The sequence below is a fragment of the Homo sapiens genome, chromosome 9 (genome assembly GCF_000001405.40).
Source record: "Homo sapiens chromosome 9, GRCh38.p14 Primary Assembly".
Taxonomy (NCBI): domain Eukaryota; kingdom Metazoa; phylum Chordata; class Mammalia; order Primates; family Hominidae; genus Homo; species Homo sapiens.
In genome coordinates this window covers 69051914-69079760 of record NC_000009.12, presented here as the reverse complement: position 1 = coordinate 69079760, position 27847 = coordinate 69051914, and the positions used below count along the sequence as shown (strand labels likewise).

Genomic DNA, 27847 nt, shown 5'->3' with positions numbered 1-27847 from the left:
GCACGTGTAATCCCAGCTACTCGGGAGGCTGAGGCAGGAGAATTACTTGAACCCGGGAGGCGGAGGTTGCAGTGAGTCGAGATCGCGCCACTGCACTCCAGCCTGGGTGACAATAGCGAGATTCTATCTCAAAGAAAAAAAATAAAACAAAAATGACCTTGATAGTTTGATAGAAATAGCATTGAATCTGTAAATTGCTATGGGCAGTTATGGCCATTTTAATGATATTGATTCTTTAAGAAGATATTAGAGTGCCTATGATATACCAACAACTGTAGTGAGCCCTGGGAACCAAACATGAAAAGATTTGGACACTTACTCTCAAGGAACTTTCAGCCTAATTGTTGCAATATACCTGAGTCATGGAGTCTGAGAGTCTTGCCTTCCACATCCCCAACAAGGTAAGTTGGCTAATTATCAGGCCTTTGTATTTCAGAATGGGAAACCTATCTAAGCTTAAGAACAAACCCTAAAGGAATTTTTGAGGAAGTGGTGTGGTGGAGAAGAGAGAAATGAGACCAGGCAATGGGAATCCAGGAGAGAAAATGGGAAAGAGAGCTTAAAAATGTCCTTAGGAGGTTCAAGTTTTTCCGTGCCTGTGTGAGGTAACTCACTCCGTGGACACCCTCCCCACCTCCAACCATTCTTCTGTAAAATTTATATTTCTTGCTAACACTCTTGGAGTTGGGGTTATTTAGAGTTTATTTGAACAACTATCTTAAACATATAATTATAACACATTTATTTGACATTTATAGAGCTCTAATTGTGTGCAAGGAACTGTGCAAGATGCTAGGGCAACAGCAGTCAACAAAGGAGACACATAGTCCTAGCCTCATGGAAGGTACAGCCAAGCAGGGGTGACACATGGTAGGTCAGTGCTGGGAAAGACAAACATGGTATGCTGAGGACATGGAACAATCAAGGGCATCCAGGCAGAGGCTGAGTGGAGGAGGAGTTTGCAAGGCTGTGCCAAGAACATTTTTCAGGGTAGAATCTACCCCCCAGGCAGAGATGTGGGGAATAAAGACCAAAATGGAAACAGCACTGGCCAAGTCTGAGAGCCACGTGAAAATAGCACAGCACACTTAGGGATCTGGGGATTTGGGATTGCTGGAGTCAAAGTGTTGAGTGTGAGGGGGTAGAAAAGCATAATTATATGTAGAGTCAGTGCCTGAACAGTTCAGTCAGAAAAGCACATTTTTCAGGCTAAGAAACTTGGCCTTGGTCCTGCTTAGGTTTTACAGACAAGAGATTGCCTTTCTGAAAGCTTACCCTGGAGACTGTGTAGCTAGATGATGGGCTGAGAGAAAAGGAGGAAGGTGGATATAAGAAAGCTCCTGCAAAAATGCAGGTGAAAAATGATGAGGACCTCCACTGGGGACGGGCAGGAGAGGGCAGATTTAAGGGATGTTTGGTGAAACTTTCAAGGGGAACTGCTGATGGACTGGCAAGAGGAATCCCAGCAGGATCAGGTGGCTATGCTCTGGACGGTTTGCATAACTGTCAGTGGCACCATTCACTTCACATTGTAGTTATAATCTCTGTCAACAGTGGCACCTGGAGATGTGCAGTACACAGCCTAGGCAATCTTACAGAGAAATCCTGACTCCAAACTCATCTGTTTCTATTACTTTTGAGCTTTGGAGGGATTTAAAGTTTTTCTTTCTCTTAGGGTTTTATTTAAGCCATTTTCTTTTGGAAAAATCTCAGCTAGCATCATAGAGTGCGGTAGGAAAGGAATGTAATTGGGAAATGATATTGTCTTATTTTTCTATATAATTTAGCCACCTTTACACTTAAGATGGCAGACACGGGAATTACATTTTTTTAATGGAGTTTCCCTCTTGTCACCCAGGCTGGAGTGCAGTGGTGTAATCTCGGCTCACTGCAACCTCCACCACCCAGGTTCAAGCAATTCTCCTGCCTCAGCCTCCCGAGTAGCTGGGATAACAGGCGTGCGCCACTACGGCCAGCTAATTTTTGTATTTTTAGTAGAGGCGGGGTTTTACCATGTTGACCAGGCTGGCCTCGAACTCCTAACCTCAGGTGATCCACCTGCCTCAGCCTCTCAAAGTGCTGGGATTACAGGTGTGAGCCACCGTGTCTGGCCAGGAGCTAAACAATTTGAGGTCAAGATGTGGCGTTAACAATGTTCCCACAGATCACAGAAACACAAGTGGACAGCAGAGGCCCTTCTTGCACTAGTACTTCTACCTGGATGGGGCCTCAGAGGTCTGACTTTCCACAGGAGAAGAAAATCTTTGAGAGCCAATTTTACTGCTGGGTGCTGATGTTTTCCTCAACTGTCTAAATAAATCTTCAGCTAATAAACATTTCAATAAATCTGTTCTGGTGCCTTCCATTCCTTAAACTATACAGCCAGAGAAGATGGAACATATGAGCTTGGATTCTGTCTCTGTAGCGGATGCAGGGATATAAGTGAGCTGAGTTTTACACATTCCAAAGGGGCCACTGATCAGGTACTTCGGGATGCACTCCAAGTGTCCTGGCTAATTAAGATAAACCAAAGATTAGAAGGCATTTCTGGCTGGGTGCAGTGGCTCACGCCTGTAATCCCAGCACTTTGGGAGGCGGAGGCAGGTGGATTACTAGGTCAGGAGTTCAAGACCAGCCTGGCCATGATGGTGAAACCCCGTCTCTACTAAAAATACAAAAATTAGCCGGGTGTGGTGGCAGGCACCTGTAATCCCAGCTACTCGGGAGGCTGAGGCAGAGAATTGCTTGAACCCAGGAGGCGGAGGTTGTAGTGAGCCCAGATCGTGCCACTGCACTCCAGCCTGGGTGACAGAGCAAGACTCTGTCTCAAAAAAGAAAAGGCATTTCTTACTCTATACACAAAGTCATGAACTCGTCGTTTTGAACAGCATAAATTTACATGAAATTTCAAAACTTTGCCCCTCCTTCCCCTTTCTCCCTTGCTGGCATGTAGCTGTTTTAGTTTGTTCTAGCAGAAGATAACTATGTGCCAAGAATCCAACTGGACACGGACTAAAATTACTTTCATCTTAGTGTGTACCTTGGAAGCGTAAAGCGATTTTTCCTTGGCAACCTTGCATGGTTAGTCCACACAAACTCCATCACTATGAACATGGGTCTTCCTTTAGAGGTGGCAAAAGCATCTGTCAGAATTTGGGGCAGGTATAGCTGGATAAAGCATATTGTAAACCTATAATTTAATGCAAACTGTCAAATTTTAAATTGGCTAAAATAGTTTTAGAAGGTATGCAAAAGATCAAGTAAAATATAAGCATGGTAAGGCACACGATAAATGGTTCCAGGGAATCAGAATCTAATACGAAGTTAAGTAAACTGAGTATTTTGATTAAGTTCAAGGTTGAGTAGGGAACGTCATCCATATTTTGGGAGAAGTCCTCCAATGTGAATATGAAATTATGCTATGCATGTGAGAACAACAGTTGTCATGAACTGAGTACTTCTCACATCAGGATTGTGCTTTGCCTGTGGGCCCAGGCTCAACATGTTAGATATCTCCATTTTATAGATTAAAAAAAAAAAAAACATGAGGCCACTGTCAGTGTCTACAAACAAGTAAGAGGCAGAGTTTCGATTAAATTCTAAATTTGTGATTCAAAAACCCAGGTTCTCTTTTACACACCTCATTCCTTCTTTGTAATTCCAGAGAGCTAAATAAGTCATGCCAGAACATTTTATTTTCTATGTGGCTGAGGTTCTACCCACTCAAGAAGGTAAAAATAATAGAAAAAGCTTTCTGATGAACACCTGTGGCACACACCTGTAATCCCAGCATCTTGGGAGGACGAGGCAGGTGGATCACTTGAGCCTAAGTGTTAGAGACCAGCCTGGGCAACATGGTGAAACCCCATCTCTACAAAAAATACACAAATTAGCCAGCTATGGAGGTGCACACCTGTGGGAGGATTGCCCAAGCCCAGGGAGGTCGAGGCTGCCATGAGCTTTGATTGTACCACTGTCCTCCAGCCTGAGTGCCAAAGTGAGATCCTGTCTCAAAAAATAGAAAGGGGAAAAAAAAGTTTTCTAAGATTGTATTATGCAATTCCTCACCTCCTCCAGTATGTTACAGTGAATATTTAATAACCTTTTCCTGGAAACTCATCCTTCACATGGATGACTGGACCACACCATAAATGAGGCGATGCTCCCAGGGTCTGTGGTGGGGAGGCTATTGGTACACACAGTGGTACTTTTCCAGTTTGCTTGACAGAATATGATTTTGATTCTTCCCCTGGCTGCTGTTCATGTGTTTGAAGTCCCTTTATTTATTTATTTATTTATTTGAGACGGAGTATGGCTCTGTTGGCCAGGCTGGAGTGAAGTGGCATGATCTCGTCTCACTGCAACCTCCACCCCCCAGGTTACAGCGATTCTCCTGCCTCAGCCTCCTGAGTAGCTGAAATTATAGGCACGAACCACCACGCCCAGCCAATTTTTTAATATTTTTAGTAGAGACGGGATTTTGCCATGTTGGCCAGGCTGGTCTTGAACTCCTGACCTCAGGTGATACACTTGCCTCAGCCTCCCAAAGTGCTGGGATTACAGGCATGAGCCACTGTGCCAGGCCCCTTTTCTTTCCTTAAATGGGGATCTCCCACTGCCTTGGGAACGAGATAATCAAACCAATTAGAGCTATATGTAAAATGAAAGTAAAATAGGCCTGAAGGGCTGGCCCACAAGGACCCCATAAGAGCCCAGATTCCTTAACTTCCACTTTCATGTCAGAGCAGCCCCACTGCATACCTCTTTTGTGCTGTGTCCCAGATAAAGGAGTACATCATGTCACCGAGTTCTAAGTAAGTGGGGTGCACTGAAACTTTCAGTAGAAGCAAGATGCAAACACATACAAACATGTATGATGTTATTTATTTTCTCACTGGCACTGGCCTACTGCACTTAAACATTTCCATCAGACTCAAAAAATAATTTTATTTCAGAAAAAATATTTTACCTATTTAGCTTTTGTTTATACTGTTTTATTATTAATAGGTTTTTTTTTCTTTTTTTAAGAGATAGGATCTTGCTGTGTTGCCCAGGCTGATCTCCAATTCCTGGCTTCAAGCAATCCTCCTGTCTCAGCCTCCTGTGCAGCTGGGACTATAGGTATATGCCACTGCTCCCAGCTTGACTTAATGGAATGTGTTTTTATTCACCCATTGGAAAAGCCTTTGCTACATATTAATACAAACTTCTCATTAATAAACCCTCCTTTTTTTTTTTTTTGAGACGGAGTCTCGCTCTGTCGCTCAGGTACGATCTCGACTCACTGTAACCTCCTCCGCCTGGGGTCAAGCAATTCTCCCGTCTCAGCCTCCTGAGTACCTGGGATTACAGGTGCACGCCACCATGCCCAGCCACTAATAAATCCTTCTTTAAGTAAGAAAATAATATAACATGAGCATAACTTTGCATGAATTTTAATGTCCTGGAGGCTTGTTGCTTTGTATAAAGTGCAGGTCAGTAAAAATTAAAATGAGGTAATGTGGTATAATACGATTAACCCAGTAAGGGTACAATAAAGGATGGCTATTATTATTATTATATTGTTATTATTATTTTGAGACAGAGTTTTGCTCAGTCACCCAGGTTACAGTGCAATGGCACGATCTCGGCTCACTGCAACCTCCACCTCTGGGTTCAAGCGATTCTTCCGCTTCAGCCTCCCAAGTAGCTGGGATTACAGGCACCTGCCATCATGCCCGGCTAATTTTTTGTATTTTTAGTAGAGACGGGGTTTCATCATGTTGGCCAGGCTGGTCTTGAACTCCTGACCTCAGGTGATCCACCCACCTTGGCCTCCAAAAGTGCTGGGATTACAGGTGTGAGCCACCGCGCCAGGCCAAGGATGGCTATTATTTTCACATGAATTCAACTGAAATCACGATAGGGCAACACCAATAACAATGTTTCCTATATAGCTTAAAAACTGTTCTTTGTCATCCCCTCATCTACCCAATAGGGAATTAGAACTAGCCTGTTAGGTTGCTTGACAGGACCACTGAATGCTGGGAATCAACCATACTCTATTCTCTCATTTAACAGATGGGGAAGCAGAGGTCCAGGGAATTTGGGAAACTTGTCCACAAAGGGACAACTACTTTGTGGCTGAACTATGTCTAGGACCAGGGCTCTCTTTATCAACATGAGTATCTCCTTCCTTTATCTGCCCCTTCATGTTTACAAGGCACCTCCTCAGCTCCATGATTTTGTTTGTTACGCTACATCACTCAGCTCATGAAAACGGCTTTTTTTCCTCTTTTCTTGTCTTTGGAAGATTTTTTGCATTCTTGTAGCAGCTGATTCCATACTAACCTTTAAATTGAAAAAATATATATACACACAGACACGTATGTGAATATGTGGGAGAAACAGCACTAGGTCTCCCTGGACAACCCAGTGCAGGCCACACCTTGGCAGTCACAGAGCACAAATAAGAAATGATCTTCCCGTGTGAGTTGCTTTCGACACTTCAATGCTAAAGAGCTCAGAAGTGCTTACACTTTGAAAGAAGCCTGAAAACATTTGTAGGCTACCCTTTAATGTGTCTCATTTGGAGATAGAACAGTGAGCAGGTTGACCAGCTGCTCTTCATGTACTTCTTGCAGTAAATCCTTCAAAGAATGAAGAGTGAAGACAATTCATTTTCCCTCCTGGAATTTTTCCTTCTTATTATTTTGCTTTTTTAAAGGTTGTTATATTCAGGTATAGGCATAAGACATTATAAAAGATAAGGGGTATCATGTGAGGGAGGAAATCCGACAATCCAAAAAATCTTCCATAGAAATTAAAAATCAGAACTTGGGGGCAAGGTAGGAGGCAACACATTCTTTCTACAGAGCTGTGACACATAGCCCAACTGTCCTCAAAAGCAGGAATAAAAAAAATAAACAACAACAACAACAAAAAACAGACCTCAGCTGCATAATGAAGCTGGGGTCTTGGCCTGATAGCTTTTAATGTCCTTAAAACGGGGCTGGGCATCAAGCATCTTTTCCGGAATAGGCCAAGGAAGACAAGTCCAGTTTGGTTTTTAAGGCTTTAGTGAGCTCTGCGGCCAGCAGCTCATGGAGGGACACGCCGTCGTGGGAGTACACCCAGTTTTTCCCAGTCCAGTCATAACGCTTAGGTCCACTGGAAGACAAAACAAATGCATAGTAATTCCACAGCACAGCCCTTCAGATGAACCACTGATTCCACAAATGCTGCCCCCAAGAAATTGACTGGAGTAAAGCTCTAGAAAATAACACAAAATGAGCTAGTGTATATCTGCCTTCTTATCTTAGCATCTAAGAAGAGTTATACGATATATCTTCTGGAACAATTCCAAGAATGATTCTCAAAACCTGAAAAAACATTTGACCCTTACTGATAAGTCTCCAGGTATCACACTTTGATCTCCAGCTTTTGCTACCTCACATGTGATACCTGCTATGCTGGAGCAGTGTTTTAAAAATTAGGGCCATTTTTGTGCTACAGATGTAACTTGTGCCTTACCTATAATATTATTAGTTGTTAAGGTGAAATTCACATAACACATTAACCATTTAAAAATGAATAATTTGGTGGCATTTAGTACATTTACAATGTTGTGCAACCACTACCTCTGCCTAGCTTCAAAACATCTGCATCACCCCAAAAGGAGACCCAGTGCTGTTGTTCCTTGGTATCCATAGGGAAGGGGTTCCAGGATCTGCAGATACCAAAATCCGTGGGTACTCAAGTCCCTGATATGAAATGGTACGATACATGCATCTAACCTAGGCACATCCTTCTGTATGCTTTAAGTCATCTCCAGATTACTTATAATGCCTAGTACAATGTAAATGCTGTTAATAGTTGTTATATTGGTTTTTATTTGTATCATTTTTGTTTTGTTTTTTATTTTCAAATATTTTGATCCACGGTTGGTTGAATCAGATGTGGAACCCACAGATACACAAGGCCAACTATACCCATTAAACAGTTATTCCCCATTCCTTCCTCTCCTAGCACCCCAGCAATCACCTAAACTATTATTTTTAAAACATATTTTTCTTAATTCAGTGTTAAATTCATGACATTGAGAGCCTGGTGGGCTAGTTCATCCACCTCAAGCTCATCCAGTGAATAATGGCACATGCACGTTGCTTTGGGAATGCTGTATTCGTGTGGACAGATCGGAGGCTGGCTTCTGCCATGTCTTCTTATACCAGATGTACATTCCACTTCCTCATGGCCTCATGGATGATTGGCCACGGCAGCAGATAACACTAGTGCATGTGGCACCCTGATGGAGGTAAGAACAGAGTGCATGGGAGCCCAGAAGAAAGGGCACCTGAGTCTGCCTGAGCACTCAAGGAGGGCTTTTCCAAAGACTGAGGCTAGGATGAGGTCACCAGGAAGGGAAGCTTGGGCAATAAAAGTATCAAGGATTCCTGCATTATCAACCAAATGCTGGGGCTTGAACCTGTTCCCAGTATGGAGATAAAAATGAGTGAACCAAACCATCAGGGTCACAGGAAAAGGACTAATAAACCACACCAAGCCCAAGGACCGTCCCCTTGGCCCTATACTCTGATACTGCTATCGGGTTGCCAGGCAGAGCCTGAGTAACCTCTAGACCCCTCCACACTGCCTGAGGTGCTCTGAGCACAGGCACTGATGCCCACGTGTCCCTAGAATTCTCCTTTATTCTGCAACCTCCTCAGGGTGCGCAAGGTGGGAGGTAAGACTGCTGATTTCACAGGACCTGAAAACTTGTCAAATTAAAAAAAACAAACAAACAAAAAAAACAGGCTGCTGCAGTGGCTCACACCCATAACCCCAGCACTTTGGGAGGCTGATGTGGGAGGATTGCTTGAAGCCACGAGTTTCAGACCAACCTAGGCAACAAAGTGAGACCCCATGTTGACAAAAAAAATTATTTTTAATTAAAAATAAATAAAATTAAGAAAAAAAAAACAAAACAAAAATCAGAAATGCAGCCAGATGAAAGATATTTTGAACCAATGTGAAAGGCTGAGAGAAAAAAAAACAAAATTTTTTTTATATTAAACAACCTTTATTTGAAAAATAGTGCCTTACCATCCTAATGCTATCAATCAAACTTCAATAAGAGCAACTGCAGCATCAACCAATAACAGTTGCTAAATTAACAAGAGATCAGTCAAAAGTGCTTTAAAGGCAGCAGCACTGGCTGGTGTTTCCCTGAGCCTCTGGGCATTCAGGACCCAGGTACAGGGAAAACAGAATCAAACCAGCTGGTGTTCTGCATCCAAGCCCTCGCATCGTTACCTGCCTCCCTCCTGGTGGCCCTGGTGGCCCATGGTCCCCCTAGCACTTCTGAGCCCCTGTCAGCTGTGGGCGGGGCGCCAGGAGCCACAGGCCACTTGTAAAAGGTTGGAACTTGGTCTCATGGTCAGCTGGTTTCTTCCCATTGTGGTCATTTTCTTTTTGGAGTGCCTGGAGCACTCTCTCAATGGACACGGCGGCCCTCCAGCCTTCCTGGGCCGTTTTCTTTCTTTTTTTTTTTTTTGAGATGGGGTCTCACTGTGTCACCCAGGCTGGAGTGCAGTGGTGTGATCTCAGCTCACTGCAACCTCTGCCCCACAGACTCAGGCAATCCTTCCACCTCAGCCTCCTGAGTAGCTGGGACCACAGGCATGCATCACCACACCCGGCTAATTTTTGTATTTTTGGTAGAGACGGGGTTTCACCATGTTGCCCAGGCTGGTCTGGAACTCCTGAGCTCAAGCCATCTGCCTGCGTCAGCTTCCCAAAGTGCTAGGATTACAGGTGTGAGCTACCGTGCTTGCCCCCTGGGCCATTTTCTTACAGCAAATTGGAAGAGTCTTTCTTCAATTCCTGGGCCAGGTTTTGGGCCATCTTCATGTAGTGGTCATGGGTGTGACACATGTGGTTCAAGTTTTCATGCACCTTGCTTAGTCTCTGCTAGAGGTCGGGCAGTAGGCATCCTCCTCCGTGGACTCCCGCTATGGCCTCATCACGTTTTTGGTGCAGTTCAGGCAGAGCGGGCAGCATCAGCTGCAGCCTCAGGAGCTCCGTCTCCAGCTGTGCCCTTGCACCCTACAGAGGCCTACTCTCCAAGCTCTTTACTCCTTTGGATTTCTTCAGAGGGACTTGTAGCCAGGAAGCGGGGAGACCACCATGTCTGGTTTCCCTGTTCCCCTCCACTGCCAAGTCCCCATCATACCACCCTTGAGCAGAGGCAGGACATTCAGCGGGGTGAGTGTCAGAAAGTGACATTATTTATGCAATGTCTTGGGGGAGTGGAAAGAACTCACAGTAGCCGCTTAGCACGAGGAGGCCAGTTGCTTCACTCCAACATTCATGGCCTGTTTCATTCCTGCCTTGGCCTTTCCTTCTTCTCCTCCTTTTTTTGAGACAGTCTCACTCTGTCGCCCAGGATGGAGTGCTGTGGCACGATTTCAGTTCGTTACAACCTTCGCCTCCTGGGTTCAAGCAATTCTCCTGTCTCAGTCTCCCAAGCAGCTGGGATTACAGGTGCCTGCCACCATGCCTGGCGAATTTTTTGTATTTTTAGTAGAGACAGGGTTTCACTATGTTGCCCAGGCTGGTCTCAAACTCCTGACCTCAAGTGATCCGCCTGCCTTGGCCTCCCAAAGTGCTGGGATTACAGGCGTGAGCCACTGTGTCTGGCCCCTTCTTCTTCGCCTGCAAGCATTGCTTCTGTCTCGCAATTTCTTGGTCAGGCAGCTCTGCGGTTTGCTGATGGTCAGTGCCGTCATTCAGATAGTCTGCAGTTTGCCCCTGAAGATCCTCTCCATGGTGCTGTGAAGCATGCAGGACGCACTTTGCATCAGTCACTCGGGGAAGTTCAGGAGGCCTGCTTTTCATGCTTTTTCAGAAACTAACCTAGGTCCTGACACGAGGACCTGCTCATTTCATTTGGAACCCTCGAACAGAGGGTTTGGAGCAATCAAGGACTGGCCTCTGGCATGGTCAACGTAAGACCACCACCAGCCTGAGGTGCTGGCCGCATCTTGGCCCTGGCCTTTCTGTGGATCTCACCTTGGGCCGATTCTCCCCTTCTCAGCTTGTCATCTTCTGACTGTGAAGGCCACCACAGCAGTGCACGCCTGGGTCACCCAGGGTATTTATAGGTTCCTTGGCACTAGTCCTAAGATTCTGCACATCACTAGCACTGCCGCCCACAGGAGGGCCAGCAGCAGCTGAGTTGGCATGTCGTGGCGGCCAGCAGGCCCTCTGTGGCTCCCGAGGGCTCTGCAGCTCTGCCTCCACTTGCCAGTGGCCTGTGGGCCACAAATCACCACTCGGAACCCTGTGGGGTGTTCCGTCTCAAACAAAAACAAGGGCCCATCAGTCATTGTAGAACTTCTGTTGGGCTGGGGGGAGGGGAGGCACCCCATGTTCTAGAAAATTGTGTCCCTGATTTTGCTGTGCAAACAGAAAGTGACATTATTTATGCAATGCCTTGGGGGAGTGGAAAGAGCTCATAGTAGCCCCTTAGCACAGGCCACTCCAGGCTCCACCTGGCCCTACAGCACAGCTAGTGGGTCAAAGCAGGGCCAGGTCATAGCCCCGTGTCCACATGCGATCCTCTCAGGGTAGCATGGTGGCCTGCCTCTGTCCCTTCTGAGGCTCGTTACCAATTTCAAGCTTCCTTCTGCTGCAGGGAAGCCCGGTCCCACCTACAAAGAGTCTGTCTCCCTTGCTAGATTGAGCTCCTTGAAGATGGGACTGTGTTTTCTTCATCTCTGTATTTCCAGTAGCTCATCAATGCCCATTATACACTAGAGGCTAAGTCATTTTGGGCCCTGTTTTCTTGTTGACTCTATTCTGACTTAGGACATGTCACTTTCCCCACTGGACCTGCATATTCACATCTGTGAATAAGAGTAAGTGGGTAAAGACCCTTCTTGCTTTAAAGCCCCTCCAATACAGAGACCTCTGAAACCAGAAGCAGAAGCTGAGGAGTGGTGAATGGAGCATTTTCCCTGGCATGATGGCTGAGACCTGCAGATCTGGCTATGAGGGTGGTATCTTGCCAGTTGAATGCCTCTGCAGAATTTCACCCTACTTTTCAAAGCAGACTCAAGGATGATCTTTATTGTTGATAATTTCATGTTTTTGTTGTTGTTGTTGTTGTTTTGAGGCTTTGATATTGACACAACAGCTTCTGGAAATCTTTTCCACAGAGAGTATGGGGACTTCTTTAGCCAAGTTGGGCGGGTGCAGGCTCCAACTGCTCGGCAGCCACTGTCCGGGCCACAGCATGTCCACAACCTCCTGCTCCTCTACAGGGGTTTCTCCAGACATAACCGTGTGTCTGGTCATGCCATTTGCCACAGGTATAAAAACAATGACGACGGCCCGAAACTGCGGGATCTTCCCGCGGAATCCTGTGCCTTCGCAGGTACAGCTACACGGCGCTCCCGCGCTCCGGCCTGCTCCTTCCAAGAAGACAGGCGCAGAACGGCCTGGGTCCTGCTCCCCCGGAACCCCGCAGTCTGTGTGGGCAGCAGGCCGGGAGTGGGGAGAGCCGCCCTGGTGGTGAGGCCCGGAGCGGGACGGCTGTGTTAGGCAGCATCCTGGCCTCCAGTGACCAGCAGACTGACTCGGCCTCCATCCCCCGCTGGGAGCTGCCGTCTTGCCGCCACTTCCCACAGAAGCACTGAGAGCTTGTCCTCAGGGCCCGCTTCTCTGCCTCCCTTCCCCCGACTCCCATCCGGCGGTGGCCACTCTGGATCTGCCGGAAACGGCGCAGGAAGGGGAGGGGCCTGAGGTGGACCGGGGAGCCTGTGGTCTCTGGGTGTGGCCTGCTCTGGCCAAGGCACCTCTTCAGTCTCACCCAGTCTCAACCTGCCCCGTCCCCCATATATATATATATATTTTTTTTTTTTGAGGAAGATAGTATCTGTGACAGTAAACGGCATGCTCAGCAGATCTTTCCAAATTCCCATGCTTCTGAACACAGCTAGAGCGTATTGCTGGGCAGTGTGTCCAAATACGATATGGACGTTTTCAGTCTTCAGATATGGGGAAAGTTCTTTTGGGGTAAGTGCCTGCCCGATATCTACAAAGCCACTGATCCCCAAAAGTGATCGCTGGACCGAGCTGATCCACTTCGTTCCCCCGGAGATGAAGGATAAGAACACACAGGCTCAAGCACAGCCAGGGTCAGGAAGAATGACTGAGGCCACAGAGGCTAGTTGGCCCACAGAGGTTAAAATCCTCCAACCTCCAGCACACTAACTGGGTCTAAAAACCAATACAATCTGTGAATTAGGGCCTTCCTAGAATGACAGTGATTTCTAGTGCTGTTTTTGTTGAACTCTAGCACACTTCTTGGATGAAAGTGTGGGGAAAGGAAACACACTATTTATTCTGAACAAAGCATTAGAGATCACAGAATAATAAATGGGAAAATATTAATTACCTAAAAATGATGTCAATGTTAGGGGGTAGAGTAAGGTTATAATTTTTAAAAAATGCAAATACCGTTAGTCTTTCAAAGAATTCTATGCTAGTTTTATCTGGCCCTTTCCCAATTCACAGTCAACATGCTCTCTTTGGAAGTGCTAATGAATGACTGGATCTGAGAACGTTTTGTGGGCATTTCTCTTTTACTTTCTTACAACCACTTCAACAGCAGCCAGGCTGCTGAGGGATGAGGGATGTCTCTCCCTGCATGTTCTCAGGCTTTCAGATGCTATGCAGGCCACATTGTGTCTCCAACACAATCTTTTATTCCTCTAGATTGAAAGCACATCAATGGAAAAGGCAGGAGGGATTAAATGCCCTGGAGCAGCAATATATAACACTCTACCACCTCCACAGGGTACACAACCCCAACCTGCAAAGGGAATTCAAATAACCCTTTACCTGAGAGGCTCAAAACAAGTAGAGGTCAAACTTTAACTTGCTTTGAAGACAAAGTGCAACTTGTTCAAACGCTACAAGGTCAAAAGTAGCTTCTTTTAAAGTCAGGGCAATAATTTAATAGAGGAAAACTGTCTAGGCTGGATTTGGAAAAGTTATAAGCTACTCACTTCAGATCTTAATATCCTGATGCCTGCTTACAGTATCCAAATTGTCAGCAGGGAGAAGTTATGTAACTAGAGTAAACTTTTCTACTGAGAATGAGACAGGCTGCAAAATATCAGGAAAGGCTCACTTACAAGGATGCTAACATAAGACGATGACTTTTTTTTTTTTTTTGGGACAGGGTCTGGCCCTGTTGCCCAGGCTGGAGTGCAGTGGCGCGATCTTGGCTCACTGCAACCTCCACCTCCTGGGCTCAGGCTGAGGCTCAACCTCAGCCTTCCAAGTAGTTGGGACTATAGGCGTGTGCCACCACACCTGGCTAATTTTTATATTTTTAGTAGAGGTGGGGCTTTGTGACATTGCCCAGGCTGGTCTCAAACTCCTGAGCTCAAGTGATCCACAGGCCTTGGCCTCCCAAAGTGCTGGGATTACAGGTGTAAGCCTGCACCCAGCTGTGACTTTATTTTTATTTTCTTTACAGAGACAGGGACTCACTATGTTGCCCAGGATGGTTCTGAACTCCTGTCCTCAAGTGATCCTCCTACCTCAGCCTCTCAAAGTGTTGGGATTACAGGTGTCAGCCACTGTGCTCAGCCGACATTTCTTAAATGGTCCACAATGTCACATTTCGGAAGTCTTTAAGAATTACATATGTTGACTTCTGAACATACCTACATACCTGGATGGAGAAGATAGCCAGATTTGCTTGTTTGGCGTCTGCTTGTTGATCACATAGGTTCCTAGATCTCCACCCAGTTTGACAGTTAAGACACCACTCTAGGGGATTAGGTGGAAAAAAAGCATAAAGAAATTAAAACAAGAAAAAGTTAGCACTTTGTCATCATTGCTTCATGTTTTATCTCAACACTTTCCATTTCTACAAGTACACAAAATACACCATAAAGAAATGTCTTTTAGTATTTAGAAATAGGAGTTTGTGTAGGAAGAGCTTTGCTTTCAGAATCAGAATAGGATTAATCATAATGATGTTGTATCTCATAGAGCTTTCCCTGTTCCCTGTGAGGTCTGCAAGGTGAGAATGGTGGTGAAGCTCGGAGAGTTAAGTGACCTGTCTCAGGTCTTGGTGCTGGCATCTGGGACTGCTGGTTTGTTGCCCTCAACCATCAACCAGAACATACTAGAGGACATAAAAAAAATGCAGACTCTAACTCTATTAGAGTACCACGTCAACTCAAACATCAGACATGACAAGTCTATTACAGAGGAAGTAAAAGGAAGGTAAGGAAGTATGCAAACCATCTGCTTTGCTTGTCTTAGGAGAGCATTAGCTTCAGCTCTGTTGGTAGAAGGCAGAAACTCCAGATGAAGTTTTTTATTTCCAGACTCTTCCCACGCATCTAACAAGCTTCTCAGATACTCCTCCAAGGCTTTATTTTTCTCTAAAGAGCCTTGAATTCTTCAAAAGACTAGTTGGTGCATCTTTGACCAATAAATGCTCATTTAAATTTGAAAACACTCTTTCAACAAAAGAGTCCTTTACTTCTAAGGCCTGTGGTCTCTTTAGAATGGGTGAGATATGAAAGAAACAGCTACAGGGCTAGTTCTCTGTATTTGAACTGGTAAGCAGGGGGAAGCCTGCTGTTCCCCATCTTGTGCATGACTTGCAGAGATACACGGTGGCAGCCTTTTTCTGTGCATTCTAGAGCCTCCATCCAATCGAGAGGCTCTGAATGATTCTTATAACACACTTTTGCAAACACAGAGAGCTATTTAGGCCAGGCATGGCTCATGCCTGAAATTCCAGCACTTTGGGAGGCCGAGGCAGGCAGATGGCTTGAGCCCAGAAGTTCCAGACCGGCCTAGGCAATATGGCAAAACCCTGTCTCTACTAAAAATGCAAAAATTAGCCAAGTGTGGTGGCATGCGCCTGTGGTCCCAGCTACTTGGGAGGCTGAAGTGGGAGGATCACCTGAGCCCAGGAGGTTGAGGCTGCAGTGAGCTGAGATCACACCACTACACACCAGACTGGGCGACAGAGATCCTGTCTCAAAAGCAAAGCAAAACAAAACAAAAAACCCAAAAAACAAAGAGTTATTGAAATTCCAGAGGGTAGTAACAATAATAATATAACTGATAGGAATGGGACAAGGGGCACTACTGGGTTATTTTTTTAAAATAACATCTTTTTCTGATTCAAAAACAAATGTATAGAAATGATGGAGACGTCAGCAATGCAGACACTGATAAAAATATTAACCACTATTTACTCGGTTCCTACTGTGCCAGGCTTGGTGTTTGGCACTTTGTGTAAATTGTTTCCAACTTGACTACAATTGTTGGCGGTAGGATTCATTATTCCAGTTTCACAGATGAGGAAAACAGAGGTTCATAGTAAAGAGTACTCAGTAATTGGCAGAGCTAATCTTAAATCCAGGTCTCTGTGGGTCCAAAGACACTGTTCTTTCTATAAGATGAAGCATTCTCTCAATCCCATTAACCAGCGATAAAAGATATTCACTCTCAGGTATCAGCTGCCAGTTTTTGTTTGTTTGTTTTTACAACAGGGTCTTGCTCTGTTGCTCAGGCTGCAGCAGTGGCAGGATCATGGCTCACTGCAGCCTCAAACCCCTATGCTCAAGTGATCCTCTGACTCAGTCCCTGCCTCCAGAGAGCTGGGACTACAGACACCACACCTGTCTAATTTTAACATTTTTCTTTTGTAGAGATGAGGTCTCGCTATATTGACCAGGCTGGTTTCAAACTTCTGGCCTCAAGTGATCCTCCTACCTCGGCCTCCCAAAGTGCTGGGATTATGTTACAGGTGTGAGCTACTGCACTCGGCCCCATTTTTTTTTTTTTTAATTTTACTATAGTAAAAAGCACATAACGCTAAATTTACCATATTAACCATGTTAAGTGTACAGAACAATAAAGTATATTCACACTGCTGGGCAGCATAACTCTAGAACTTTTCACCTTGTAACACTGAAACTCTATGCCCATTAGACACTAATTTCCCCATCCCATAGCCCTTAGTAACCACCTGTCTACTTTCTATTTCTATGATTTTGACTAAAAAAAAGATGTTTTTTTAATTGAAAATAAAAATTATACATTTATGGTGGTGTTTCTGTGATTTTTGACTACTTTTGACTACTTCATCAGTGGAATCATAAGTATTTGTCCTTTTATGAGTTGACTGCCAGTTTTTGAAAGCATTTTTTAAAAGGGCTGGGATTATACAATACGTAAGTTTGTTTAAAAAAACATTTTTTTTCCTGAAACCCATTTTTACTGTTTTGGTATGACTATATTTCATTTATTTAAAAGTTTCTTAAAACTGAGGCTGCATGTGGTGACTCATGCTTGTATCCTGGCACTTCGGGAGCCCAAGGAGGGAGGATCGCTTGGGCCCAGGAGTTCAAGACCAGACTGGGCAACATGGTAAAACCTTGTTTTTACAAAAAATTACAAATTCACTGGGTGTGGTGGTGCGCACCTATAGTCACATCTACTTGGTAGGCTGAGGTGGGAGAATCGCTTGAGCCTCAGAGATTGAGGCTGCAATAACCGGTGATCACGCCACCACACTTCAGCCTGGGTGACACAGAGAACTTCTCTCAAAAACAAATAAATAAAAGTTTCTTAAAACTGTATAATTCAGGAGTTTTTAGTATTTCACAAAGTGTGCAAACATCACCACTATCTAATTCCAGCTATTTCCATTGTCCCAAAAAGAAACCCCGCACCCGTTAATACTATTTCCCACTCCTCTCATACAGAGTTTTATAAATTATTTTTCCATGAGATAAAGAGCTCATCCAACAATGATAGACTGGATTAAGAAAATGTGGCACATATACACCATGGAATACTATGCAGCAATAAAAAATGATGAGTTCATGTCCTTTGTAGGGACATGGATGAAACTGGAAATCATCATTCTCAGTAAACTATCGCAAGAACAAAAAATCAAACACTGCATATTCTCACTCATAGGTGGGAACTGAACAATGAGAACACATGGTCACAGGAAGGGGAACATCACACTCTGGGGACTGTTGTGGGGTGGAGGGAGGGGGAAGGGGGGAGGGATAGCTTTAGGAGCTATACCTAATGCTAAATGACGAGTTAATGGGTGCAGCACACCAGCATGGCACATGTATACATATGTAACTAACCTGCACATTGTGCACATGTACCCTAACACTTAAAGTATAATAATAAAAAAAAAGAGCTCAAAGAATCAACACACAATCATTGGTAATTTGTTCTCTTTGTGGCCCTTAAATGCTCCAGTTGTGTGTTGCACCCTATACTGGGGGGCCACAATCCAGCAGAAAGGGCAGAGGACTGAGTATAAGACGCGAGTTCCAGGTCTGGTCTCATCACTGATGAGCGGCGCCTGTCTGCCTTGATGTCTCTCCTGCCTCCTTCGAGGACTCAGGGCAAGAACTAGGGGCAGATGCGTGCTCAAGGTCTCCGCACTTGCGTCCATCACCACAATGCCTCAGCATACAGCAAATCAGGGGGTGCACATGCAACCACTGAAGCCAAAATTGACTTTTTCCTATCGGAATTGGAAATCTTTTGAGTGACTCCAGGTATCAGGCCACTCTTTTTCAAAGGGCATATTAATAAGCAAATGTGAGAGCCCTTCTAGCTCCACAGCTCTCAAGCTATTTTCACCCCCTGGCACCTTCTCTGCAGTCAACTTCCTCCCTCCCCACATGAGACCCACTCACCTCTACCCTGCTACCCCTCTGTGGGTCCCATTGCCTCGTGGTGCTTCCTGCCTCTGCATTCAGAGCTGCCTGACTGCTTGCTTGTCCCCTGACCTCCACTACTTTAAGCACCTTAGCAGCAGGAGATCTGTCTTTTCATGCTAGCATCTGCAGGTCTAGCACCTCCATCCCTCCTGCAAAAAGGACATTTGTGAATGAATGACCAACTGGTCAAATAGTGAATGAGCAGATGATGTCCAGGTAGTGTGATACCATCTGCCCAACTTAGGGCAAGGTTACACAGGGCAGAAAACCCCAATGCTCAACTTCCTCCCACCAGTCTGTTCACTGTAAATAGATTTTTTCCCCCACAGATCTTGAAACTATTTTGGAAGGAAAGTGGTGACAGGAAAGAAACTAGCTGCATTAGTTCAGCAGAAATTCTTAATGCTTTTGGAACTGACTACAAATAGACCAGATAAAGAGGGCTTTCTCTTCATCATCATCATTATTCCTTAGACAATCTGAGTCTATTTTGGGAGTGTGCATGCCCTTAAGTGCAGGGGGAATAGTCAAAATATGTAGCAGTTTCTGAGATGCAGGCACTAGCCAATTAGCACAGACAGTGGCCACAGCTGGTGAGTCTTTTTTTTTTTTTTGAGATGGAGTCTCGCTCTGTCACCCAGGCTAGAGTGCAGTGGCTCGATCTTGGTTCACTGCAAGCTCTGCCTCCCGGGTTCACGCCATTCTCCTGCCTCAGCTTCCCGAGTAGCTGGGACTACAGGCGCCCACCACCACGCCCAGCTAATTTTTTTGTATTTTTTTAGTAGAGACGGGGTTTCACCGTGTTAGCCAGAATGGTCTCGATCTCCTGACCTCGTGATCCGCCCGCCTTGGCCTCCCAAAGTGCTGGGATTACAGGCGTGAGCCACCACGCCCGGCTGGTGAGTCTTATTGACTCCTCCTAGTCAAGATCAGCCCTACCCATGTAGGAGCAAAAATAGCAATTACTGTTGTCACTAGCTCACTTGTAGAAATAGACACATATAAGATGGCATGTTGGGTCTGGAGACTTCACATACATATGACCTCCTTCATTTCTAAAGTAGATACCAACTTGCTAGGATGCACTTTTACCTATGCCATTTTAATTGATCCTCTTATAAATCTGAAGAGAGGAGGTTAATGTCACTCATCTCATAGCTGAGGAAACTGCAGCTCGCAAAAGTTAGATATCACTTAAGGACTCTTGGAAAGAAAATACAAATCCAGGATGCTAAGCCAGATCCTTTGTCTCCATATCCAATGAGATGGTGCCTCACTGGGCCAGGAACAGTGACTCACACCTCTAATGCCAGCACTTTGGGAGGCTGAGGCCAGTGGATCACTTGAGGTCAAGAGTTCAAGACCAGCCAGGCCAACATGGTGAAACCCCATCTCTACTAAAAATACAAAAAAAAAAATTAGCTGGACATAGTGGCACGCGCCTGTAATCCCAGTTACTCGGGAGACTGAGGCAAGAGAATCCCTTGAGCCCAGGAGGTGGTGGTTGCAGTGAGCTGAGATCGTGCCACTGCACTCCAGCCTGGGTGACAGAGTGAGATCTCTCTCAAAAAAAAAAAAAAAAAAAAAAAAAAAGATGCTGCCTCTGAGCAGGGGTTTTTAACTTGGGATTAAGTGGTCTCAGGGGGCTGCAGACACTTCCAGCTTGAAGCTGGAATGGTACTCCTGAGTATGTTAACTTAAGTGTAGCTAAAACTGCCTCCTTACCTATTTTGAGTTCGGATCTAAGGGCTTCTCTGTACATAGTGAACTGCAATCTACTCTTGTACCAATCACCGAGTTTTGGCTAATCAAAGGCGGCCAACTGTTCAAACCAAGTTTAAGGCAAACACCAAGCTGTAACCAACCTGGCTGTTTCTGTACCTCACTTTCATTTTCCTTTTTCTTTTCTTTTTTTTTAAGATGAAGTCTCGCTCTGTCGCCCAGGCTGGAGTGCAGTGGCGGGATCCTGGCTCACTGCAAGCTCCGCCTCCCAGGTTCACACCATTCTCCTGCCTCAGCCTCCCAAGTAGCTGGGACTACAGGTGCCTGCCACCACGCCCGGCTAAGTTTTTGCATTTTTAGTAGAGACAGGGTTTCACCGTGTTAGCCAGGATGGTCTCGATCTCCTGACCTCATGATCTGCCCGCCTCGGCCTCCCAAAGTGCTGGGATTACAGGCGTGAGGCACCGCACCAGCACCAGGCCCTCACTTTCATTTTCTGCATGTCACTTTCCTTTTTCTGTGCATAAATCCTAAATCCTCTCCAACCACGTGGCACACCGTGGAGTCTCTCTGAACCTATTCTGGTTGCAGCCTTCCCGATTTATGAATCATTCTTTGCTGAATAAAACTCTGTTAATTTGTTTAAAGTTTTTTTTTTTTTTAACAGGTGAGTATGGAAGTTTTTATTGGGAGAGGGACCAGAGCAGTCATCAGATTCTTAGAGGGAGGTCCTGATCCAAAAAAGATGAAGAACCCTCAGTTCTAAGACAGTAATATGCTGACACCTTAGTGAATAAAGAACATGTCAACAAGCAAATCCTTATTAAAATATCTAAGATGCCAGGACTCCACCTGGGAAAAAAAAGAGGTCAGCCTGGAGGTAACTTCAGGTAGTGGGGTGACTCTAACAGTCTCCAGGCAGATTTTACTAGGTCAAGTAGAGCGGACTCCACAGCTGCCTAGTGACAAGAGGTCCTTTCAGCTCTGGTAGAGTGTCTTCTGTAATGACCAGTGCCAGTAAGGGGTGATGCCTGGGCCAGACATTGGCATCCACCTGTTACCTGGACCACTTGATCAGACGACACACCAGTTAAGAAGCCACTTAAGTCTCCCACTCCACAGAGAGAAAAAAGAACAGATGTCCTCTTGGGTGTATCTGGATTACTGCTTTCATTTGTCTATGTGGCCAGTAGCGAGTTGGTAAAAGGTGTATAAATGCTGAGAGGCATCAACGAAAGCATGTTTTGGAAAAGTCTCATTTACATATGAATCAATATTTATTAAGTCCCTACTATGTACTTGGCACTGTTCCAGACACTGGGATCAAAGAATGGACAGTGTCCCTGCTGTTGAGGAACTCAGTGTGTTATAGGTGGTAGCTGACGTGTAAATAGACAATTATAACACAGAGGGATCAGTGCTCCACAGAGTCAACCTCAGAGTGCTGGGCAAGGGAGAAAGGAAGGACCGTGTCTGCTTGGAGTATCTAGGAAGGCTTCACAAAGGAGGTAACTTCTAGCTATATCTCAGGGGAGGAAAAGACTGCTCTCCCACAAAGCTCAAGTAATAATATTATCAAACATGAAATACATAAATTAGTTAGCACCTGAAGGACTCTAATCAGGAATTCATACTCTAGGGTACAGAGTTAGCATTTCAATGTAGTTAATCACAAGTCCAAACTATAGATGGCAGCCACTGTATAGCTTTAGCTTTCTAAATCTACACTTAAGCATTTGCTAATTAGTAAATGATTTGTTAGAAATAATTTTGCCCTTGAGTGATACTCAAGGTATATGAATTGGCTAGAAAAATATAGGCATCTCTTCCTTTGAAAGAATGGGTTACAGAATCTGGAAAGCCTACTAGCCTAATGTTGTCTTCAGAGAGACAATCTCAGGGCAGGAATCAGGAAGGTTCTCTGACCCACTACTGGGAGCAGAAGGTTTTGTCGCCTGGTTCAAATTGATTCAATGATGTGAGAAATAAAAACAAAATTCTAAGCTCCCAACTGACTCAACAAACTATCTTTTGGCCAAGGGGAGCCCAGAGATATCTAAAAAAAATTTTAAGTTTTGGCCATGATGGGAAAGGAGTTCAAACAGGACTCGTTCTATTCCCTCCCTAACTGCCATTAGTTTTTTTTCCCCTAAGGGCTAAATAGAAACTAGCCCTTTCAAAAAAATTATTTCAGGCCATGCATGGTGGCTCATGCCTGTAATCCCAGCACTTTGGAGCTGCCTGTAATCCCAGCACTTTGGGAGGCCAAAGCAGTTGGATTACCTGAGGTCAGGAGTTCAAGACTAGCCTGACAACATGGCAAAACCCAGTCTCTACTAAAAATATAAAAAAATTAGCCAGGCGTGGTGGCAGGCGCCTGTAATCCCAGCTACTCGGGAGGCTGAGGCAAGAGAATCACTTGAACCCAGGAGGTGGAGGTTGCGATGAGCTGAGATCACACCACTACACTCCAGCCTGGGCAACAGAGCAAGACTCCATCTCAAAAAGAAAAAAAAAAAAAAGACTCACTTCACCACTGGTATCAACTCATCACCTAATTCTGCCCTTCCTTTTTAGTGGTTTCAGCACAACTGACTAGCATTCCTTCCTGATAACCACTGACCACAGAGTGGTCTAAGACAGGGTCTTGCCCTGTCATCCTGGCTGGAGAACAGTGGTGCGATCATGGCTCACAGCTGCCTCGAACTCCCAGTCTTAAGTGATGCTCCTGCTTCAGCCTACCAAATAGCTAGGTTATGTAGATATGCAGTCTCATTTTGTTGCCCTGTAATACATGTTAGTGTTAAGTTTCTGCCTAAGGTGAACATGGGAGACATGCTGCACACGTTAGCTTACTCCACATGTGTGCATATTCATAGATCCTCCCTTTGTGAATATTCATAGATCCTCCCATAATCTGTTGAATATGTATGCTTAGCTACGCCTCTCAGCATAAATTCATGTTCCCTTTGCCCCTTCTTGGAAGTGCTTGTTTTTCAGTTATGGCCAGAGGCTCTGCTTCCTGCCTACAGGTAGTGGGACCCTCTTTAGAAATAGTCCTCCTTTCTAAATTTATAGATTTGTGGCTGGGTGTGCTGGCACACACCTGTAATCCCGGTGCTTTGGGAGGCCGAGGTGAGAGAATCGCTTGAGGCCAGGAGTTTGAGACCAGCCTGGGAAACATAGCGAGACCCATAAATAAAATAAAATAATTAGCCGAGTATGGTGGCATGTGCCTGTAGTCCCAGCTACTAGGGAGGCTGAGGTGGAACGATCACTTGAGCCCAGAAGCTTGAGGCTGCAGTGAGCTATGATTGTGCCACTGCACTCCAGCCTGGGTGACAGAGCGAGGCCCTGTCTCTAAAAATAATAATACTAAATACCATATTTTTATATAAATATATTTAATTAAATATAAATATATTTGTGACTTTTTCAGTTCAATAGAAGTAAACCAAAAGATGACTTTTGCCAGGTGCCGTGGCTCATGCCTGTTAACCCAGCACTTTAGGAGGCTGAGGCGGGTGGATCACTTGAGATCAGGAGTTTGAGACCAGCCTGGCCAACATGGTGAAACCCCATTTCTACTAAAAATACAAAACTTAGCCCTGTATTGTGGTACATGTCTGTAATCCCAGCTACTCAGGAGGTTGAGGCGGGAGAATCGCTTGAACCTGGGAGGCAGAGGTTGCAGTGAGCTGAGATCACACAACTGCACTCCAGCCTGGGTGACAGAGCTAGGCTTCAACTCAAAAAAAAAAAAAAAGAAGAAGAAGAAGTAAACCAAACGCAGCTGCTAGAATATTGGCACATTTGCTTCTAACAAAACATTCATGCAAAGTACTCTGGTCAAACTGGGGCTTCACTAATCCTATAAAAACAGGTTTCATGACTGTTTTTGTAGCTTGCTAATCAATGTCTGCATGTGTGGGCAGAGTTTAGCCTGCAACTTGGTTTCCCTGCAGTTACAGGCTCTAGTAGAGGCTAGGGGAGAGAAGGCCCTTAACTCCCCCACCTCTGATCAGGCTGTGGATGCTCAAGTTGGTAGGTCAGTTTGTAAGAGTTCCCAAGCAGCCCGGCCCTCTAGGGCTGCCTGTGCAAGCACTTTAAAGCCCTGCCCAGGCACTACTGCATTTTTTGCTGCTAACAGCAATTACTGAATCTACTTGAAAGGCATTCAATCCTTCCCTGCTCCATTGCTCCTTTTTTGTTTTTTCAATTCCCTCACTGTCCTTATAGTCAGGCTTGATACCTTCTCTAAGACTTGGTTGCCTCCTCCATTATGTGGAGTGCCTTCTCCATTCAGTGCTCCCGCTGCAATTTCCAATACTATTTCTATCGCTTTAGTCTGATGGCTGATTGTCCTCAACAATTCCATGATTGAATCCAAAATGCACGCTTCGTGACATTTTCTGGTATTAGTCAATTGCCATCAAGAGGATTAACATCTTTGAGGAGCCAGGCGCGGTGGCTCACACCTGTAATCCTAGCACTTTGGGAGGCTGAGGTGGGAGGATTACTTGAGTTCAGGAGTTCAAAACCAGCCTGGCCAACGTGGTGAAACACTGTCTCTACTAAAAATACAAAAATTAGCTGGGTGTGGGGGCGTGTGCCTATAATTCCAGCTACTTGGGAGGTTGAGGCAGGAGAACTGCTTGAACCCGAGAGGCAGAGGTTGCAGTGAGATCATGCCACTGCACTCCAGGCTGAATAACAGAGGGAGACTCTGTCTCAAAAAACAAACAAACAGACAAACAAACCAACCAACCCAGAAAACCATCTTTGAGGGATTTTCTCCCACTGGCAAAAAAGAACTACTTTAAGGCCTAAGCAATAATTCTAAACCCAAAGGCAGACCCTTGCCCAAATCTGCCACCTGGTGGCCAGTCGATAAAGACCAGCACTTCCCTGGCTTCTAGGATCTGGGGCTAATGTTTCATCCAACTCAGAAGTTCTCACACCAGGCCGGACCTGGTGGCTCACGCCTGTTATCCCAAAACTTTGGAAGGCTGATGGGGGTGGACCATTTGAGGTCAGGAGATCGAGACCAGCCTAACCAACATGGTGAAACCCCGTCTTTACTAAAATGCAAAAATTAGCTGGGCATGGTGGCAGATGCCTATAATCCCAGCTACTCGGGAGGCTGAGGCAGGAGAACTGCTTGAACCCAGGAAGCGGAGCAGTGAGCCGAGATTGCGCCACTGCACTCCAGCCTGGGTGACAGAGTGAGACTCCTTCAAAAAAAAACAAGTTCTCATACTAGCTGCATATTGGAATCATCTGTGGAGCTTAAAAATCCCAGTGCCCTGCCCAGGTCATGCCACACCCCAGACCAAGTAATCAAAATCTCTAGGAATAAGACCTAGGGATACACATTAGAATCCCAGGTGAGCTTTTCAAAAATATGCTTCCCAGGAATGCACCCGACCTACCCCATCACTGTCTCACAGGAGCAGGGCTCAAGTCTTTGTAATCTAAATAACTTTTGGGCAGTTATCTTATCCCTACTGAAGAACTACGGGTCTAGTTTGTTGTTCCCTCCATCTGCCTGCTGGACAAATACACACTCAGGCCCCTCTCTGATTTGCCTTCATGGGTATCCACTGAAGCTGGAAAATGAGGCTCAGAGAGGCTGAGTGACTTGCCCAGAGTCACAACAAGCCTGGTAGAGCTGGACTGCAGCTTGAAGCCTAGTCTTGTCTTATCTATCTTATCTATCTATCCAGCTATCTATCTATCTATCTATCTATCTATCCATCCATCCATCCATCCATCCATCCATCCATCCATCTATGACAGAGTCTCGCTCTGTCACCCAGGCTGGAGTGCAGTGGCGTGATTTTGGCTCACTGCAACCTTCACCTCCCGGAACCCTAGTCTTTTAATCCTACCTACAACTACATGCTACTTGATGCTTAGCTCTGCTGGAGGGAAATTCTTCATTTTAGTGAACTAAAATTCTTAGAGGGGGAAACAGAAAAATAAAAGAAGTCAAGAGGTACCCCAAAGGAGACATCATAGTCCTCAAACGTGTATGGCTTGTCTGCAAGGTCTTCAAAAAACTCTGCTAAAGAGTCCAGCGTTTCCTCTGCTAGTCTTTCATAGGTGGTCTCATCTAGAGAGCTGCAGAGGAAGCACAAAACCCAAAACATGATTACCAAATGCTTCCATTTTATTAATATCAAATTTATACATTTGTTATTTAAATTCATTAAATTGATGAAAATAACATGTAAAAAGTAAAAGTTTTTCTTTCTTTTTTTTTTTTTTTTGAGACAGAGTCTCACTCTGTCACCCAGGCTGGAGTGCAGTGGCTGGTCTGAACTCGTGACATCAAGTGATCCACCACGTGCCTCAGCTTCTCGAAATGTTAGGATTACAGGCGTAAGGCACCGTGCCCGGCCCAAAGTAAAAATTTAAAGGCCGGGCGTGGTAGCTCATGCCTGTAATCCCAGCACTCTGGGAGGCCGAGGCAGGCAGATAACACGGTCAGGAGATCGAGACCATCCTGGCTAACATGGTGAAACCCCGTCTCTACTGAAAATACAAAAAATTAGCCGGGCGTGGTGACGGGTGCCTGTAGTCCCAGCTACTCAGGAGGCTGAGGCAGGAGAATGGCGTGAACCTGGGAGGCGGAGCTTGCAGTGAGCCGAGATTGCGCCACTGCACTCCAGCCTGGGCGACAGAGCGAGACTCTGTCTCAAAAAAAAAAAAAAAAAAAAAAATTTAAACAGCACAGAAGGGGTTACAGAAAGAAGCAGGCAGCCCCCATTCCCAGAGGCAACTACAATTAATAGTCCTTTCTGGGCCAGGCAGTGCAGTGGCTCACGTCTGTAATCCCAGGACTTTCGGAGGCCGAGGTAGGTGGCTCACCTGAGGTCAGGAGTTTGAAACTAGCCAGGCCAATATGGCAAAACCCTGTCTCTACTAAAAATACAAAAATTAGCTGGGCTTGTGGTGCACGCCTGTAGTTCCCAGCTACTTGGGAGGCTGAGACAGGAGAATCACTGAAACCCCGGAGGTGGAGGTTGCAATGAGCTGACATTGTGCCACTGCACTCCAGCCTGGGTGACAGAGTGAGACTCCGTCTCAAAAAAAGAAAAAAAAAAAAAATAGGCTGGGCCTGGTGGCTCACGCCTGTAATCCTAGCATTTTGGGAGGCTGAGGCGGGTGGATCACCTGAGGTCAGGAGTTCAAGACCAGCCTGGCTGACATGGTGAAACCTCGCCTCTACTAAAAATACAAAAATTAGCTGGGCATGGTGGGGCGAGCCTGTAATCCCAGCTACTCGGGAGGCTGAGGCAGGATAATCTCTTGAATCCAGGGGGCGGAGGTTGCAGTGAGCTGAG

At 45.4% G+C, this 27847-nt stretch overlaps 1 protein-coding gene across 2 annotated transcripts in view, besides 4 other annotated features; it reads right to left on the bottom strand.

Moving 5' to 3' along the window:
* Nucleotides 685-27847, bottom strand: part of FXN (frataxin) — a 43325-nt gene continuing 16162 nt past the window's right edge. The window contains exons 3-5 of one of the 2 annotated variants that reach the window (NM_181425.3): nt 26501-26621; nt 14718-14823; nt 685-7149 (exon numbers count right to left, since the gene is read on the bottom strand). In NM_181425.3, the coding sequence (NP_852090.1) occupies nt 7049-7149; nt 14718-14823; nt 26501-26621 (328 nt within the window). In that variant the 3' untranslated portion in view covers nt 685-7048. The remainder of the gene's footprint in view (nt 7150-14717; nt 14824-26500; nt 26622-27847) is intronic. The other variant, NM_000144.5, reaches the window with a different exon arrangement.
* Nucleotides 10807-11306: an enhancer, noted in NCBI's record as "H3K4me1 hESC enhancer chr9:71683371-71683870 (GRCh37/hg19 assembly coordinates)". NCBI's record gives its function as "activates a minimal SCP1, AML or CMV promoter by ChIP-STARR-seq in naive H9 embryonic stem cells {active_cell/tissue: H9 hESC(naive)}" and the evidence as "EXISTENCE:reporter gene assay evidence [ECO:0000049][PMID:30033119]".
* Nucleotides 12557-13156: an enhancer, noted in NCBI's record as "H3K27ac-H3K4me1 hESC enhancer chr9:71681521-71682120 (GRCh37/hg19 assembly coordinates)". NCBI's record gives its function as "activates a minimal SCP1, AML or CMV promoter by ChIP-STARR-seq in naive H9 embryonic stem cells {active_cell/tissue: H9 hESC(naive)}" and the evidence as "EXISTENCE:reporter gene assay evidence [ECO:0000049][PMID:30033119]".
* Nucleotides 23927-24426: an enhancer, noted in NCBI's record as "H3K27ac hESC enhancer chr9:71670251-71670750 (GRCh37/hg19 assembly coordinates)". NCBI's record gives its function as "activates a minimal SCP1, AML or CMV promoter by ChIP-STARR-seq in naive H9 embryonic stem cells {active_cell/tissue: H9 hESC(naive)}" and the evidence as "EXISTENCE:reporter gene assay evidence [ECO:0000049][PMID:30033119]".
* Nucleotides 24427-24928: an enhancer, noted in NCBI's record as "H3K27ac hESC enhancer chr9:71669749-71670250 (GRCh37/hg19 assembly coordinates)". NCBI's record gives its function as "activates a minimal SCP1, AML or CMV promoter by ChIP-STARR-seq in naive H9 embryonic stem cells {active_cell/tissue: H9 hESC(naive)}" and the evidence as "EXISTENCE:reporter gene assay evidence [ECO:0000049][PMID:30033119]".